This window comes from Homo sapiens, chromosome 7, assembly GCF_000001405.40.
Source record: "Homo sapiens chromosome 7, GRCh38.p14 Primary Assembly".
Classification (NCBI taxonomy): domain Eukaryota; kingdom Metazoa; phylum Chordata; class Mammalia; order Primates; family Hominidae; genus Homo; species Homo sapiens.
Window position 1 is genome coordinate 148,305,293 of NC_000007.14, and position 19,251 is coordinate 148,324,543.

Sequence of the window (19,251 nt, forward strand, 5' to 3'; positions counted from 1 at the left end):
ATATTGTTTTCTTCATTTGCTTAATTTTTTGTGAACTAATTATGAATTGAAACTCAAGCTCTCTCTCAATTTTAAAATCTTCCCTCAACATATTGCAGCCAATATAAGAGGAACTCACCATTTCATTTTCTTGGAAACTTCTACCCCAGAGCATTCTGGCTGGATAGGCCTTGGGCATCTGTATTAGTCTGTCTTCCTTCTGCTATAAAGAACTACATGAGACTGGGTAATTTATGAAGAAAAGAGGTTTAATTGACTCGCAGTTCTGCAGGGTTAACAGGAAGTCTGGCTAAGACGCCTCAGGAAACTTATAATCACAGCAGAAGGTGAAGGGGAAGTAAGCATGTCTTACCTCTGCAAAGCAGGAGAAAGCGAGTGAGCTGGGATCTGCCACATACTTTTAAACCATCAGATCTCTTGAGAACCCACTCACACTATCATGAGAACAGCAAGGGAGAAATCCGCCCCCATGATCCAATCATCTCCCACCAGGACCCTCCCCTGACACATGGGATTACAATTCAAGGTGAGATTTGCGGGGGGGACACAGAGCCAAGCCGTATCACCATCCTTGCATCTCTCTTCTCCATCATCATAGATAACCTGGGCCTCCGGATGGCATGAGATCCCCCTCCTACCCGGCTTCCATGACTTTCTCTTTGTTGATCTAGTCCCTTTTTTAAAAATGGAGCCATCCTTCTGTAGCTTCCTGAGAAAGAATGAACGGGAATCACATTTTCTGAAACATTGCAAGTCTGAAAATGTCTTTATTCTCCCTCATGCTTAATTGAAATCAGACTGAATACAGAATTCTCATTTAGAAATTATTTCCCTTCACAAGTTTGAAGGAATTTGTCTATTGTCAATAGTATTGCTCTCAAGAAATTCAATGCCATTTTCATTCTCAATTCTTTATTTGAACTCGGTGTTTTTCTCTCTGGAAGATTTTAGGTTCTTATTCTTCTTTGTTTTCTGAAATCTCATGAATATTATTTGATGTGGGTCTATTTTGACTCTTTCTGTTGGAACACACATGGGGCCTTTTAATCTGGAAAGCCGTTCTTGAACTCTAGGAATAGATTTTGGGGGACAATTTCTTCTTTCATTTCCTGTTCTCTCTTCCCAGAATTTGTTATTCAGCTATCAGACCCCATGGACTGATCTGTTATTTTCTTATATTTTCTTTCATTTGTTCAATTTCTTTGGCTGTTGTTTCCCCTATTCTCTGAACAATGTTCTCAAATTTACATTTCATAAACTCTCATTGAGTTTTTCACTTCTTTTTTTATGTTCTGAATTTCCAAGAGCTCTATTTTTTGTTCTTTGAATGTTCCTTTTTTTAAATCATCTGTTCTCATTTCATGAAAGCAATATGTTATCTCTCAGAAGGTATTAATGACGGTTTTCTCCCAAGTGTTTCTTTTCCTACTCAGCCTCTTTTTCCTTCAAGTAGCTTTCTTTGGTTGGTTGGTTGGTGTGTGTGTGTGTGTGTGTATATGTGTATTTTCGTTTGTTTTTCTTTTTTCTTCTCCTGTGTTTGAGACATGTCCTCAAATGCCTGGTTCCCCTTTAGCTGACACCCACATTTAAGATTGAGGCACTACAAATATGACTGAAAGTTCTGTGCACACAAATGGGGCCTGTCACCCGTGGGCTTCAGTGGCTGAGTTGTTTCATCGGGAAGCCCCTGATGTTGCATCACTGAGATTTTTGTCTTGGGCTGATTGAAAGCTCCAGAGAAGAATTTTCTGCCCTGTTGCCTGGAGGGTAGACACCTGGCTGTCACTGTTCTCACAGCTAAGAAGGAAGAGGACTGCGAGGTTCAAGATTCAGTGTGTAAATGTTGACTGAAGATCCCTGTTTTCAGTACAGAGCCCCTGCCGTCCTATGCCTAGAGTCCTCCAACTGAGAGTCTCTGTGTCCTTCCCAGAGAATACATCGTTCCTCTTCTGCCAGAGTGAGGGGAGGACAGATGCCTGGGGTAGGGATCTGGGGATATAAATGTTCTTCACGAGCTTCCAGTGAGTTCTTCTGTTTTTAGCTTCACATAAACACACATATCCAGTGGAAACTCTTGCCATCAACTGCACAAATAATGGGCGGCTTTGCAGTGCCAACCGGGCTACTTCTCAGCACTCTCCACCTCAGTGCAAGCATCTGTCCTTGGATATGCTGCCACTTAAGATGGTTCTGCTGTTTTTCAGCTCTAAAAAGGTTGTTATCATCCCCTGCCTCATGATTTGTTCTTACACCTTCGTATATCTTAACACTTCATTCCCCTTTTCACGGGCTTTATGAAGAAGCAGTGGTAAATGTAGGTGCTCAATCCACCATCTTTAATGGGAATCCTTCAGCACTTCTATTTTAGAAAAAATGTGAAGAATATACATAGAGACTGGGCATGGTAGCGCATGCCGGTAATCCCAGCAATTTGGGAGGCGGAGGTGGGCAGATCACCTGAGTTCCGGAGTTTGAGATCAGCCTGGGCAACATGACAAAACCCACCCATCTCTACAAAAAAAACACAAAAATTGCCCAGGCATCGTGGCACACACCTGTAGTCCCAGCTAATGGGGATGCTGAGGCAGGAGAATTGCTTGAGCCTGGGAGATGGAGGTTGCAGTGAGCTGAGATCACACCACTGCACTCTAACCTGTTTGACAGAGTGAGACCCTGTCTCAAAAAAAAGAATATACTAAACACTCATTTCACAATATTCTTGACTTATTAAAGCTGGAGTCATGGCATAATTTCCAATTTGCTTTTCAAAAGAATTAATTGATCAGCTAAGAAATTTACAAGTAATTTTTTTCAAATAGTGAGGTCCCTTAGTATTAAAATGAATTTCATGTTTTAATACTAGGTTTTTCCTCCCACGCAGTGAATTTTCTTCTTGCTTTAAGAAGAAATGCTCTGGAGAGAATATAAAATTATATATAGTTGTGTATGAATTATATGTCATAGGATTACATATAATTATATGTAAATATAATTACAATTATAACATTAATACATGTTCACTGCAGAAAACTTGGAAAAAAACAAAGAGTTTAAGAGAAACTTCATAATCAACTGTATTCTCAACAACTACAGAAAGCTTAACCAATGATTTGTCCGTATCCATGGCTAAGAACGAATGTACCTACACATCTGTGCCATTTTTAAATTGGCATTTTTTAAAAAGTAGATCCAATTTTAGAAGTTTGAAATCTAGTTTAAAAGCCTAGATTTTATTTTTTTCCATTTTAACCTATTTATGTATTTATTTATTTATTTATTTATTTATTTATTTATTTATTATACTTTAAGTTCTGGGGTACATGTACGGAACGTGCAGTTTTGTTACATAGGTATACACGTGCCATGGTGGTTTGCTGTACCCATCAACCTGTCATCTACATTAGGTATTTCTCCTAATGCTATCCCTCCCCTAGCCCTCCCACCCCCCAATAGGCCCCGGTGTGTGATGTCCCCCTCCCTATGTCCATGTGTTCTCATTGTTCAGCTCCCACCTGTGAGTGAGAACATGCAGTGTTTGGTTTTCTGTTCTTGGGTTAGTTTGCTGAGAATGATGGTTTCCAGCTTCATCCAAGTCCCTGCAAAGGACGTGAACTCATCCTTTTTTATGGCTGCATAGTGTTCCATGGTGTATATGTGCCACATTTTCTTTATCCATTCTATCATTGATGGGCATTTGGGTTGGTTCCAACTCTTTGCTATTGTGAATAGTGCCGCAATAAACATACATGTGCATGTGTCTTTATAGTAGAATGACTTATAATCCTTTGGGTATATAGCCAGTAATGGGATTGCTGGGTCAAATGGTATTTCTGGTTCTAGATTCTTGAGGAATCTCCACAAAGCCTAGATTTTCTAGAGGAATTCTTCTCTATACAGGGAAACATTGCAGTAATGAGTTTAAGTGCATTGATTCTTTAAGCACATTTGTTTGTTGAATGATAAGACTATTGTATGTAGTTCACATCCAGCCCCCTACACAACTGTCACACACAATGACCTTCACAGTGATTCATGCCTGAACAACATTGTTTCCTTTGCCTTTAGGCTTGCAATTGGGAACTCATTTTATTTGAACCAAAGCCTTCAGTCGAGATGAAAATTTTCACTCACGTCTGTGTGAAGAGACCACCAAACAGGCTTTGTGTGAGCAACAAGGCTGTTTATTTCACCTGGGTGCAGGCGGGCTGAGTCCAAAAAGAGAGTCAGCAAAGGGAGATGGGGTGGGGCCATTTTATAAGATTCGGGTAAGTAAAGGAAAATTACAGTCAAAGGGGGGTTATTCGCTGGTGGCAGGAGTGGGGGTCACAGGGTGCTCAGTAGGGGAGCTTTTGAGCCAGGATGAGCCAGGAGAAGGAATTTCACACGATAATGTCATCAGTTAAGGCATGAACAGGCCATTTTCACTTCTTTTGTGGTGGAATGTCATGAGTTAAGGCAGGAACCGGCCATCTGGATGTATACGTGCAGGTCACAGGGGATATGATGGCTTAGCCTTGGGCTCAGAGGCCTGACATTCCTGTCTTCTTATATTAGTAAGAAAAATAAAATGAAATAGTGGTAAAGTGTTGGGACGGCAAAAATTTTGGGGGGTGGTATGGAGAGATAATGGGCGATGTTTCTTAGGGCTGCTTCGAGCGGGATTAGGGGCGGCATGGGAACCTAGAGTGGGAGAGATTAAGCTGAAGGAAGATTTTGTGGTAAGGGGTGATATTGTGGGGTTGTTAGAAGAAACATTTGTAGTGTAGAATTATTGGTGATGGCCTGGATACGATTTTGTATAAATTGAAAAACTATACGGAATAAGAGAAGGAGAAAAACAGGTATTAAAAGACTAAGAATTGGGAGGACCTAGGACATCTAACTAGAGAGTGTCCAAGGGGGTTCAGCATAATTACTTACTTGGTTGGCAAGTTTTTGGGCTCTATCCTTGAGTTTTTTATGTTGTCATACACCAGGCCAGATTGATTTAGGTAAAAACAACACTCTTCATTTAAGAATATACAGAGTCCTCCTTTTTCAGCAGTGAGTAAGTCAAGGCCTCAGCGGTTTTGGAGGACAACTGCAGCTAAAGAGTCAACTTGGGCCTGGAGGACTGATAAAGTTTGTGATATGTCTGTGATGCTAGCAGAGAAGTCATTAGAGAGGCTACGGAAGGTCGTGACAGAGGTTGAAATGCCTGCTATTCCAGTACCGAGAGCAATAGTAGAGGCAGAAAGTCCTAAACCGACAAGCAAGGGAATTAGTGGAATAACTCTTTTTTGTCGTGTCGGTGTCATGAGGGGAACAGGGAGCTCTTCGGTCCTATTTGCAAATTGAATTTTGGGGGTAAGGAAGACTAGTGTGCATGTGCCTGTCCAATTAGCAGGTAGACACATGTAGGTAGAGGATCCACAGACGAAGAGACCTTGTGCGAGGCAAAACTGGAGATGCAAAGTAAAGAGAAGCAGTGCTGAAAGGGGTGTCTTGTACCCAGACTCCTAGGTATCCAGCTAGGGTGGCAGCCGTCAGAGGTTGTAATGGGGATTGATGAAGTAACTGCGTAGAGGGGGAGGTTCGATTTACATGGTGTGTGAGAAAACGTTGAGTATCTACGAGCAACCTTTCACTGTTATTTTCGGGGCTGGGTATAAGTAAACAAGAAGAGGGCTTTGGAGATGAAGAGTAAAGGAACATCGAGAAGGTGAAAGATTACCTAAGGGAATTCCAGTAGGTCTTTGCTGAGAGATACATAAAGGAGCGGCCACAGGAATAGTAGTTTGTGTTGTGAGAGGTCTAAATATGGGGGGAGTAGAGTTGATATAAGGAGAAAGGTTTTTCAAGTAAGTGTGGAGGAGGGTGGCAGCTTGCTGATGTGAAATGTCTGGGGAGGTCTTGCTGGACCTGTCTAGAAAGTAAATGAGTTCTTCAGGAGGGTAAAAGTGAGGGCTGTTAAAGGAAGTCTGGAGGTGTAGGGAGACAGGAGGTGTTGCCTAGTCTGCATGTAAGGTGGGGACAACTGTGTAGGCCCTGGAAGAAAGGGAAATGCAAAGCCAGTGGTTGTTTGCTAAGGAGGGATTAGAAACGGCTAGGAGAGAATGAGTAAGGTTGATAGCGTGGTGGAGATAGCTGGGGAGAGGTAGAGGGTGGCAGAGGAATGGGAATGAGAATAAAAGTGAGTATAAAAGTAAAGAATAGAACTTCGTCAGGGTGAAAGTACTGGAGGGTCCCCTGCCAGCAAAGATCATCTATCCACTCTAAGAGGGAGTTAAGAGTTGCCAGTCCTGGGCGGGGGCAAATCCTCGAGCTTGATGTGTAGGGAAGGGAGGGGGCCTGAATAATCCCTGAAGAGTAGCAGAATAGCAGATGGAAGAAGTTACTTCCTTGAGGATAGATTTCCACGATGGAAAGAAAATGAGAGGTTCTAAGAGGCAGGCTAGTGGCTTGTACTATAGCATAGCCTGCCTTTGCTGGTGTGTGGCGATTAGGCCTGGTGGAACTGCCATCAATAAACCAAGTGTGTTCAGGGTGAGGAACAGGAAAGAAGGAAATACGGGGAAATGGGGTGAATGTCAAGTGGATCAGAGAGATACAGTCATAGGGGTCAGGTGTGGTATCTGGAATACTGTGTGAGGCCGGATTGAAGTCTGGGCCAGGAACAATGGTAATTGTGGGAGATTCAACAAAGAGTGAGTACACCTGAAGGAGCCGGGGAGCAGAAAGTATATGCATCAGGTGGGAGAAAGAAAATAGATCTTGGAAGTTATGAGAACTGTAGACAGTGAGTTTAACACAGTTTGTGATTTTTTGGGCCTCTAAAAGTATTAAAGCAGTGGCAGCAGCTGCATGCAGACATGAGGGCTAGGCTAAAACAGTAAGGTCATAGTTGTTTGGACAGAAAGGCTACAGGGTGCTGTCCCGGCTCTTGTGTAAGAATTCTGACCGCACTAACCATGCCTAGGAAGGAAAGGAATTGTTGTTTTGTAGAAGGGATTGGGGTTTGGGAGATTAGCCAGACACGATCAGCAGGGAAAGCACGTGTGTTTTTATGATAATTATGCTGAGACAGGTAACAGATGAGGAAGAAATTTGGGCTTGACTGAAGTAATGGGAGCTGTCTGTGAAGCCTTGCGGCAGTACAGCCCAGGTAATTTGCTGAGCCTGATGGGTGTGAGGGTCAGTCCAAGTGAAAGCAAAGAGAGGCTGGGATGAAGGGTGCAAAGGAATAGTAAAGAAAGCATGTTTGAGATCCAGAACAGAATAATGGGTTGTGGAGGGAAGTATTGAGGATAGGAGAGTATATGGGTTTGGCACCACAGGGTGGATAGGCAAAACAATTTGGTTGATAAGGCGCAGATCCTGAACTAACCTGTAAGCCTTGTCTGGTTTTAGGACAGGTAAAATGGGGGAATTGTAAGGGGAGTTTATAGGCTTTAAAAGGCCATGCTGTAACAGGCAAGTGATAACAGACTTTAATCCTTTTAAAGCATGCTGTGGGATGGGATATTGGCATTGAGGGGGTAAGGGTGATTAGGTTTTAATGGGATGGTAAGGGGTGCATGATCGGTCGCTAAGGAGGGAGTAGTGGTGTCCTATACTTGTGGGTTAAGGTGGGGAGATACAAGTGGGGGGGATGTGAAGGAGGCGTTGAACTGGGGGAAAAGGTGGCAATGAGGTGTGGCTGTAGCCCAGGAATAGTCAGGGAAGCAGATAATTTAGTTAAAGTGTCTCGGCCTAATAAGGGAACTGGGCAGGTTGGGGATAACTAAAAAGGAGTGCTTAAAAGAGTATTGTCTAAGTTGGCACCAGAGTTGGGGAGTTTTAAGAGGTTTAGAAGCCTGGCCATCAATACCCACAACAGTTACGGAGGCAAGGGAAACAGGCCCTTGAAAAGAAGGTAATGTGGAGTGGGTAGCCTCCATATTGATTAAGAAGGGGACAGACTTGCTCTCCACTGTGAGAATTACCAGAAGATCGGCATCCGTGATAGTCTAGGGGGCTTCCGAGGTGATCGGGCAGCGTCCGTCTTCAGCCACTAAGCCAAGAAGATCTGGGAAGGAGTCAGAGAGCCTTAGGCCAGAGTTCCAGGGGCTCTGGGAGTGGCTGCCAGGTGAGTTGAACAGTCCGATTTTCAGTGGGGTCCCGCACAGATGGGACATGGCTTAGGAGGAATCCTGGGCTGCGGGCATTCCTTGGCCCAGTGGCCAGATTTCCAGCACTTGTAGCAAGCTCCCGGGGGAGAAGGTTCTGGAGGAATCCCTGGCAGCTGCAGTTCAGGCGTTTGGAGTTCTTGTGTGCTGGAGATATGGCTGGGGTTTGTCTCACAGTGGAGGCAAGGAATTGCAACTCAGAAATACATTGCTACTTGGCTGCCTCTACTCTATTATTGTACACCTTGAAGGCAAGGTTAATTAAGTCCTGTTGTGGGGTCTGAGCACCGGAATTTAATTTTTGGAGTTTATTTAATGTCGGGAGCAGATTGGGTAATAAAATGTATATTGAGAATAAGACGGCCTTTTGACCTTTTAGGGTCTAGGGCTATAAAGCGTCTCAGGGTTGCTGCCAAACAAGCCATGAACTGGACTGGGTTTTTATATTTGATGAAAAAGAGCCTAAATGCTATCTGATTTGGGATAAGGAAAAGGAGCATTAACCTTGACTATGCCTTTAGCTCCAGCCACCTTTTTAAGAGGAAATTGCTGGGCAGGTTGGGGAGAGCTTGTCACTGAACGAAACTGTAAGCCGGACTGGGTGTGAGGAGGGGAGATGATAAAAGGATTGTAGGGTGGAGGAGTGGAGGCTGAGGAAGAATTGGAACCTAGCTCGACCTGGCAAGGAGGGGAGAGGTCAGATGGGTCTGTAGAAAAGGAAGATTAGAAAGACTCAGCGACACTTGGGGTTGGGACTAAGGGGACAGGTGGGAGGGAAAGAAGGAAGATTTGGGACAAGTTGCATTGGGAACAGAGACTAGGGAGGGACCGATGTGTAAAAGAGTGCCTGGATGTCAGGCACCTCAGACCATTTGCCTATTTTATGACAAGAATTATTTAGATCTTGTAGGATGGAAAAATTGAAAGTGCCATTTTCTGGCTATTTGGAACCACTGTCAAGTTTGTACTGGGGTCAAGCGGCATTGCAGAAGAAAATAAGGCATTTAGGTTTTAGGTCAGGTGTGAGTTGAAGAGGTTTTAGGTTTTTAAGAACACAGGCTAAGGGAGAAGAAGGGGGAATGGAGGGTGGAAGCTTGCCCATAGTGAAGGAGGCAAGCCCAGAGAAAAGAGCAAGTAGAGACATGGAGAGAAGGGGTCGGGGGGTTCTTGCCCCCTAGAAAAGCGGTACTTGCCGCTGAGGGTGAAGGAGAAGGAGTTGGGGGGTTCTTGCCCCCCAGAAAAGCAGAGAAGGGGTAGAGACATGGAGAGAAGGGGTTAGGGGGTTCTTGCCCTCCAGAAAAGCGGTACTTGCCACTAAGGGTGAAGGACCAAGGCAGGCGTCCCCGTGTGGTCAGATGCCTCTGAAATGTGGGTGAATAATCAGGCAGGCGTCCCCATGTGATTAAACACCAAGGGAAGACTGTCTTCCCCAGTCCGTGACCGGTGCCGGAGTTTTGGGTCCACAGATAAAACGTGTCTCCTTCGTCTCTACCAGAAAAGGAAAGGAACTGAAATTAAGAGAAGGGAGAGATTGAAGTGTGGCACCAAGATTGAAAGGAGAAAGAGGTTGAGGGATAGTGAGAGAGGTTGGAGAAGAGAGTAAAAAGAGGCCGCTTACTGGATTTAAAATTGGTGAGATGTTCCTTGGGCTGGTTGGTCTGAGGACCAGAGGTCGTAGGTGGATCTTTCTCACAGACCAAAGAGCAGGAGGACAGGGGATTGATCTCCTAAGGAAGATCCCCTGATTCGAGTCACAGCACCAAATTTCACTTGCGTCCATGTGAAGAGACCACCAAACAGGCTTTGTGTGAGCAACAAGGCTGTTTATTTCACCTGGGTGCAGGCAGGCTGAGTCCAAAAAGAGAGTCAGCAAAGGGAGATAGGGGTGAGGCCGTTTTATAAGATTTGGGTAGGTAAAGGAAAATTACAGTCAAAGGGGGGTTGTTCTCTGGCGGGCAGGAGTGGGGGTCACAGGGTGCTCAGTAGGGGAGCTTTTGAGCCAGGATGAGCCAGGAGAAGGAATTTCACAAGATAATGTCATCAGTTAAGGCAGGAACAGGCCATTTTCACTTCTTTTGTAGTGGAATGTCATGAGTTAAGGCAGGAACCGGCCATCTGGATGTGTACATGCAGGTCACAGGAAATGATGGCTTAGCTTGGGCTCAGAGGCCTGACAAAAATGTTGTTAATTGCTCTGGTTATAGACAGAATAGTAGCAGGAATAAATAATCAGAAACATTTATGGATTATATCTTTGTTGATATTTTAAACCTATCAGTTACCTTTCTAGCCTAATGAGAATGCCTTGATAAAGCCACATTCTTGGAAATTTTGGTTTTCATAAATGTGCTTGGGTTTTATAAGTCCTGCTTTGCCTACCACTTGACCAAATTCCCTACAGACTTTTTTATATAAACACCTATGGTTAAGACAAAATGTGTTCTTTCAACAATGTACAGCTTCTGAGAGTAATGTCTAGGCTGGAGTATATTCATATATATTATTTATGCTTTCATTTAACAAACACATGCTGAGATCCTACTTTTTGCCGGACTTAGTACTGATTGCTCTCTCCTGAGCATCCTTCTTAAGTCAAAGAGAATATTCATTGTTAGGGAAGGAAAAAAAGATAGAGGGAAAAAAAATAGATGGCAAGAACATGGCAGGAACCCAGTCCTGAACACCCAGGGGTTTTCAGAATAAGGGAGAGGTTAACAATCTACATAGAGCAACTGGGATTAAAAATGGGAAGCTGGCTTCATGGGGGGAGGAATAGCATTAGGAGATATACCTAATGTAAATGACAAGTTAATGGGTGCAGCACACCAACATAGCACATGTATACATATGTAACAAACCTGCACGTTGTGCACATGTACCTTAGAACTTAAAGTATAATAAAAATATATTAAAAAAAAAAGAAATGGGAAGCTGGCTGCCAAGACTGCAGGAAGACTGTGTCAGATTCAGAGCATGACCATCAGCAAGGTAAATCCCTACTGCCCACAGTCATAATTGGCACCAGACTCTAGGAAGGAATTATATATTTACGTGGTGCCTAATGGGGATGTGAGGATCTCAGAGGGAGAAAACTAGGTAGGCACAAATAATACCCGCACAGGCCTTATTTACACCTATTTTATGCAAAGTTCTAATAGAAATCATTAACTGGTTTCCTAGCCCTTGCAAGATCCAACACAAATTAGTAGAATGTTCTAGAAGGAATAGAAGTAAAAATATCAATCACAGTAAGAACAGGCAGCTAGATGCATATTGGCAAGAGGGCAGATAAATAGAAAGATGTGAGAAGTCAAAAATCCTATTGCGATCTCATTTTGCAGGGAACCAAAGATCCCAAATAGCTCTCTCTGGAGGCACCAGTGTATATATTATTAAAGACTCAGCGAGAAAAGACAATTCACTTTAAGACAGCAAATAAACAAATAAACAATGTGGAGCTGCCATTCCCAATCCATTTATCTGGAATAGTTCAGCCTCATTTGGCAATCTGTATTTTTTCTGAAGCCCCACGGGGTCATTAAAAACTCCATAGGTCCCAAATGTATTTGCATAATGATAGATGCCATCCCCCTGCCTGACAGTAAAGAAGCAGCAATTTAAAAAGTATGATGCCAGCCAGGCACAGTGGCTCTCGCCTGTAATCCCAGCACTTTGGGAGGCCGAGGTGGGCAGATCACCTGAGGTCAGGAGTTTGAGACCATCCTGACCAACATGGTGAAACTCTGTCTCTACAAAAAATACAGAATTAGCCAGGCGTGGTGGCACATGCCAGTAATCCCAGCTACTCGGGAGACTGAGGCAGGAGAATTACTTGAACCCAGGAGGCAGAGTTTGCAATGGGCTGAGATCATGCCATTGCACTTCAGCCTGGGCAACAAGAATGAAACTCCATCTCAAAAAAAAAAAATTCATGGTATTATTCTTTTGAGGAAGCATACTAGAAATCAAGAATCAGGCCAAGTGCTGAGGCTCATGCCTGTAATCCTAATGCTTTGGAAGGCTGAGATGGGAGGGCTACTTGAGGCCAGGAGTTCAAGATCAGCCTGGGCAGGACAGCAAGACTCCAGTCTCCAAAAAAATATTTTTAATTAAAAAAGGACCAGTCTTATTAAAGTAAACTGCAGTCCTGTTACTGATCTTAGTATCAAAGCAATGTTAGAGCCCACGTGGGATTCACACCTCCTAGAGTTCACAGCACAAGTTTGCTGTAACAGTAGATAAGGTCTTGGTTGCCCTGAGCTCATTTCTTTTTTTTTTTTAGACGGAGTCTTGCTCTTTCGCCCAGGCTGAAGTGCAGTGGTGCGATCTCGGCTCACTGCAAGCTCCGCCTCCCGGGTTCATGCCATTGTCCTGCCTCAGCCTCCTGAGTAGCTGGAACTACAGGCACCACGCCCGGCTAATTTTTTGTATTTTTAGTAGAGACGGGGATTCACCATGGTCTCAATCTCCTGACCTCGTGATCCGCCTAACTCGGCCTCCCAAAGTGCTGGGATTACAGGCGTGAGCCTCCGTGCCCGGCCCTGCCCTGAGCTCATTTCTAAATCCATCTTCCTCCAAGGTGGTGGCAAGCATGCTTCTTTATCCCGGAGAGATGGCCCTTTCATCAAAGTCTCATTCAGACCCTTCTCCTTTTGGAATGCTTTTCTTGGGAGGTTGGCTGGGATGCCTACTACTCTTGAGGATCTGCCTCTGATAGAGCCTAGATCTTAGAATCAGGAGAGTTTCTTGCAGGCCCATCAGTTACTGTGAAAGATACCTGAGCTAGTTGGCTCACAATCCACATCCATCAAACCGCCCCCTGCAGAGAAGTCACCCGGCTGTCGCCTGCTTGGCTTGCCCTGCCTCTCGCCATTCTCATTTCATTAGCAATGCGAATGTTCACACCCTTCAATGTGCATATGATGGGTGTTAATGAGCATAACACATCTGTGAAGCGTGTGTGATTTTTTTGCCTAATAAATAGGCAGTAAACAAGAGGAAGGGAAGAGCTACTATCTGGGGGCATCTGAGAAAACAAAAAGCAAGCAAGGTATGAGTCAGATTGATTGTTCAGTGAATCCCAAAGGGCCAAAAACTTCCTAAACTGGTTTTGGTGTTTCTCACTAGGTGTTTGGACAGCTTGGAACCTGGATAGTCCCACCTACCCAAAAGCATTCAAATTAGGCATGCTTTTAACAAAGCAGGTGGCATGGCATGTAAATTGTAGGAACACTGTTAACCTTTGCAAATGAGTTTCGTGGTCCGAATGGATAATTACATATTTCCCTCCATTAGGAGCTACAAACTCATCAAGATTCTACAACCAACCGGCTCTTGAGTTTCAATCTCCATGTGACAAGGGGATTTATTATGAGAGGGCAGAGAGAAAAGAGGAACACCGCTCTCTTTCTCTGCAATGGAATGATGGTCAGAAAAGAACAGATCAAAGGAATAAACCTGCTCTCCTATTAACTCAGCTTACCAATTCTGGCCTACATTTTCAAAGTTATCAGTAATCAAAACATTGGGAAAGGAATTACAACCTCTTCTCCTGAAAGTTTAACAACTTCCCCATGAAGCACTGCTTTTGATTGCATTACAAGCTATTCCTGAAGAATTTATGACCTAAGATACTCTTTGTCAATGTAGGCCATTTGTCCATGAGTGGAGTGACTGATAAATCAGCTATTAACATAGATAAGAAAGCATATCGATTGAGTCAACTTTGTGTTTAATAATATGCTAGACAGTAATGATGCCTGGAAAATACACTCTGTAATTAAGTACTTTTCCCTTTATATTTCATGAAGACTCTTGTATATTTTATTCTGGCAAAATAGATTGTGACTAACATCTCATAGAAAAGATCATCATATTGTGATCCTATATCTTTATCATAAAAGTGAATTTGAGGGAAATTTTTATAATTTTTCAATATAAAAATTATTAAGATATCAAAACTCTTTGTTTTTTCACTACTCCAAGGTTTATTTCATCATCTTAAAAACCTTGTGAATACAATCAGTCTGCTAGGTCAGGGGTCACCAACCTAGGGCCATGGACACCTACCGTGGCCTGTTAGGAACCAGGCCACACAGCAGGAGGTGAATGGCAGACACGCAATTGAAGCTTCATATGTGTTTACAACTGCTCCCCATGGCTCGCATTACCACCTGAGCTCCACCTTCTGTCAGCTCGGCAGCAACACTAGATTCTCATAGGAGCACAAACCCGATTGTGTACTGTGCATGCGAGGGATCTAGGTTGCACACTCCTTATGAGAATCTAATGCTTGATGATCTGTCAGTATCTCCCATCACCCCTGAGATGGGACCATCTAGTTGCAGGATAACAAGCTCAGGGCTCCCCTTGATTCTGCATTATAGTAAGTTGTATAGTTATTTCATTATATATTACAATGTAATAATAATAATAGAAATAAAGTGCATAATAAATGCAATGTGCTTGAATCATCCCAAAACCATCCCCTACTCCCCTAGTCCACGGAAAAGCTGTCTTCTGCAAGACTGGTCCCTGGTGCCAAAAAGATTGCAGACCACTCTGCTAGGTAGAACTGCATTCTTGTGATTATGTATTTTAATGAGCGCATTTCCTTTTCATATGGAGAAGGGAACCACATTGCCTTAATTCCCCAACTTCTGCCCCAAAGCTTTCTAGGCCAATATGGCTGCATTCGAGTTGCTGATGGCTGTGCTACCCTCCCAGGGCTGATGTACAGTTTCCTGCCTGGGCCGTGTCACCAATCACTAGGGTTTAGGAGGCTATAGTCAGATCTTGCAGAATATGTCAGTCTCATTCTCTGTAGAATTTTTTGTTTGCCTGTTTTTTTCTTCTCTTTGGCACTGGACTATGGGCAGTGGCAGTTAGTGGTAGATCCAGGGTGGAGAGCTGAGACCTAACAAAGAATTTTTTTTTCTTTTTTTTTTTTTTTTTTTTTTTTTGAGATGGGGTCTCCATAGGTCACCCAGGTTGGAGTGCAGTGGCTCAATCTCCACTCATGGCACCCTCCGCCTCCTGGGTTCAAGTGATTCTCATGCCTCAGCCACCCAAGTAGCTGGGATTACAAGCATGCACCACCATACCCGGCTAATTTTTGTATTTTTAGTAGAGATGGGGTTTCATCATGTTGGCCAGGCTGGTCTCAAACTCCTGACCTCAGGTGATCCGCCCGCCTCCGCCTTCCAAAGTGCTGGGATTACAGGCGTGAGCCACCACACCCAGCCAACAAAGAATTTTTAGGTTCCCACTATTCCACCCCACCTGTGCTAGACCCTGTGGTGACAACAAAGGTGAAACAGACATGCTGACTGTCATTAAAACACTGACAATCTAAACTAAGAAAGATGAAAAAAATTAATTGAATACCCAGTGGAAAGTAAGAAGGAATAGTTTTAACCTCCTTAAAATGCTTTTGATTGCATTATAAACTATTCCTGAAGACTTAATGATCCAAGATACTACTTGTCAATGTAGGCTATTCGTCAATGAGTGGAGAGACTGGTAAATTGGCAGTTCATGTGATACATACGCTTTCAGAGTAAAGAGAGGTTTCTTCTAATAATGAGAGGAGCGCCTGGCCAGAGAGACCCAGGAAACATATGCAAATACTAGAAATAGCCCCAAGTAGCAAGTGTGGCTATAGATGGTACACGTGAAGGAGAGTAGTGGGGTTAGACCGTGAAGCCACGAAGAACCAGGTTAAGGAATTTAGACTTTTATTTGGTAGGCAGTGGAGAGATGTTGAATTTTTTTTTCAAACAGTGGAGTACAGTGAGGAAGGCAGGAGACTTTGCAGAAGGAAATCAGGAATTCCAACCAATGTGTTGAGTGTAGGATTCTAAATCCAGCACAAAAAAACCTTCAAAGCAGCAGGGAAAGGGTTTGGCTCTGATTCAGCCTCAGTGGTTATACTGTTGCCATCAGGGAGCTGGGCTTGGGGGTGGACAGAGGCTGGTGGCAGAGGGAGGGATGGAGGGACAGAGCTGAGTTTTTCCAAAGCAGAAGAAGACGGTTTTGCAACCTAGCACACCATCTGGGTCAGATTTATCAAACAAGATTATTTGTTGACAGACCATGGTTATTTCCCATTTAAAGGAAGCAATACATATATTGTATCCAAAATGGCTCCCCAAAAGCAGCGTTGAGCTGATGCAAAAGATCAGTCCATTCTCCCAGCAAAAGAGCAGTCTCTTGACATCCCAGGTAGGAGGGATTCATGTATTTCACAAAATGTGTCCAATGCAATCATCAGGCAAATAATATTTTAATGTTTTCTTGACATGCTGAGAGTAAACTTGCTTCGATGCACTGTCTCCTTCTAGGCACATTACTCTGGAGTAAAAGAAGAGAGGAAAGAGACAGAGGAAAGAAAAAATATGTAATCACATATGAACTGCAAAAGAATTCTAGCTGAGGTTCTTAGAACTATAAATTCTTCTTTTTTTTTTTTTTTCTGAGACGGATTCTCGCTCTGTCACCCAGGCTAGAGTGTGGAGTGCAATGGCGTGATCTCAGCTCACTGCAACCTCCACCTCCCAGGTTCAAGAGATTCTCATGCCTCAGCACCCGTCCCCCTCCCCCACCCCAACTAGCTGGGATTACAGGCGCACACCACTGCGTCTGGCTAATTTTTTGTATTTTTAGTAGAAATGGAGGTTTCACCATGTCGGCCAGGCTGCTCTCGAACTCCTAACCTCAGGGGATCCGCCCACCTTGGCCTCCCAAAGTGCTAGTATTATAGGCGTGAGCCACCGCACCCAGCCAAGAACTGTAAATTCTTAAAATTTGGGAGGAACCATCAAGAAAGAAAGCCTAAGCCTTGTAACCATATGCCAACCTACATTGGTCTACTCCCTCTGCCACGCTAGGCATTTCACACTCTCGTACACTCTGAGGGAAACTCGAGAAACAAGTGTAATAAGAAATATTCCCGCTAGAGCATGGCAGCCATAAGCTACCAAATTTTTGTTATAAAATAGAAATATACTTCTAGATGTAAACATGTATATGCTTATATCTAACCTCTCTAGGATAACTTTTGTAAGTGGATTTTAATATAACTAAAACTGGATGCTAAAGAAATAGCCCTCTCTTAAAGTTGTACTTGGGCACGTCTAGGATCAAAAAGTTAATAGTTTTGTCTGTGATCAAGGAGTTAATTTTTTGCTGCAATATGTTTACATCTAACATTCTTTTGAGCTATCCACAATCTGGTTATATATCAGTTTATCCAACCTTATTTCTCCTTTCCTACTTCAAAGACCTCCATTCAAGCCGTTCTCCAAGCTCTTGCCTAAATAAGTAGTTTTGTTTTGTTTTGTTTTGTTGTTTTTTGGGGTTTTTTTTTTTTTTCAAATTTTTTCCTCACTTCTAAGTTTCATTCAGGGACTACCTTTCCCCACTTCCCCTCATCATTCTCTTTTTCTAAAATCTATCCATCCTTCAAAGCCCAGGTTGAAATTTGTCCTCTTCCTGAAATCGCCCCAAAAATGTGCCAAATCATTCAGATCTCTGCCATCTCTGAGTCTTATAAATCAAATTCTTAGTGGCATTCATTTGACTAAGAATAATAAATACATCACTATTGTTATAATCACCATAATACCTGGTGCTGTTGTTAGATGCTTTACCTATGTTACCTCTTATCCAGACAATCCTGTCCTATCACCCCCATTTTACGTGAGAAGAAACCGAGGTTCATAAAGGTTAAATAACTAGTCCAAGTTCACATAGCTAGCAAGTGACAGTCATAATAGTGGTTCAGACCCAGAACCGACTGGCTTAAAAATCCATGGTCCTTCTTCTGTGCCATATGGCTTCCCAATTATGGATTTCTTTTTTTTTTTTTTTTTTTTTTTTTTTTCAGATTGTGATTTAGGTTTATTCTTTTTTTTTTATACTTAAAGTTTTAGGATTTCTTACATTACTTTTTAACAAACGTATTTTGTGCATGATTCTAAGAGGTAGTACACTTTTTTTTTTTAATTGTTTGCCTCATTTTCCCACCATGCCTACTTTTCACTTTGCTGAACCCGTATAGAGTGTCTGGTTAATGTTAGAGAAATTGAATTGAATTCCTGACATTTGGGCCCTTTTCTTGAGTTCCTCTTCTTTGTCCATAGATGAATCATCCCATTACATCTAACTCCGTTGGACAGCTTGCTTCTTCCTCAATTGTATGTGAATAGTTTTCAATCCACTTTACTAAAATCTAATAGTCACCATCTGTGTCTGCTATATAAATGTGAACTCTTGAAAACACTAACATTTGTGGGTCAGAAATTAGAGGACAGTAAAATAAACCACTGGAACTGTGAAGAGGGAGGAGGCGTGAAGAGGCACTCCCCTCTCTGCTGTCTGTGGGTCAACCTTTCCGGCCTGCCTGTTTCTCAAACTGAGTGAGACTTGTCTCTGAAGCCCCATTTTTTTTTTTTTTTTTTTTTTGAGACGGAGTTTCACTCTTGCCCAGGCTGGAGTGCAGTGGTACAATCTCGGCTCACTGCAACCTCCACCTCCTGGGTTCAAGTGATTCTCCTGCCTCAGCCTCCCGAGTAGCTGGGATTATAGGTGCACACCACCACACTCCACTAATTTTTTGTATTTTTAGTAAAGACGGGGTTTTGCCATGTTGGCCAGGCTGGTCTCGAACTCCTGACCTCAGGTGATCCACCCACTTCGGCCCCCCAAAGTGCTAGGATTACAGACATGAGCCACCACACCTGGCCTCTGAAACCCCATTTAATTTTCCAAATGAAGGTGATGTGTCCCAGGCATCATACATAGGCAAGAACCCACAAAGTGGCAGAGGAGCAGGAGCAAAGGGGCCTGGGCACCCCCTGGAAAGTCATCATACAGCTTTACTCAACTGTCACCTTCTCCTGGCCTTCCTTGACCACTGTTTTTAATTGCAAATCCCACTGCATGATGCCCTATCCCTCTTCCCTGACTTATTCTTCTCCATAACTCACATTTTCAAAGCATTCTATGCATTTCACCAAATTGTTTGTGGCCCTTCTCCTCCCACCAGAATGTAATTTCAAGAGAGTAGGGATCTGAGGTCGGGCGCAGCGGCTCATGCCTGTAA

General features: G+C 43.2%; 1 protein-coding gene across 1 annotated transcript in view, besides 1 other annotated feature; it reads left to right on the forward strand.

Moving 5' to 3' along the window:
• The window catches only part of CNTNAP2 (contactin associated protein 2), a 2,304,198-nt gene that overhangs the window by 2,188,492 nt on the left and 96,455 nt on the right, over positions 1-19,251 (forward strand). The gene's annotated exons all lie outside the window — the stretch shown is intronic.
• Positions 9,951-10,510: an enhancer, noted in NCBI's record as "OCT4-NANOG-H3K27ac hESC enhancer chr7:148012335-148012894 (GRCh37/hg19 assembly coordinates)". NCBI's record gives its function as "activates a minimal SCP1, AML or CMV promoter by ChIP-STARR-seq in primed H9 embryonic stem cells {active_cell/tissue: H9 hESC(primed)}" and the evidence as "EXISTENCE:reporter gene assay evidence [ECO:0000049][PMID:30033119]".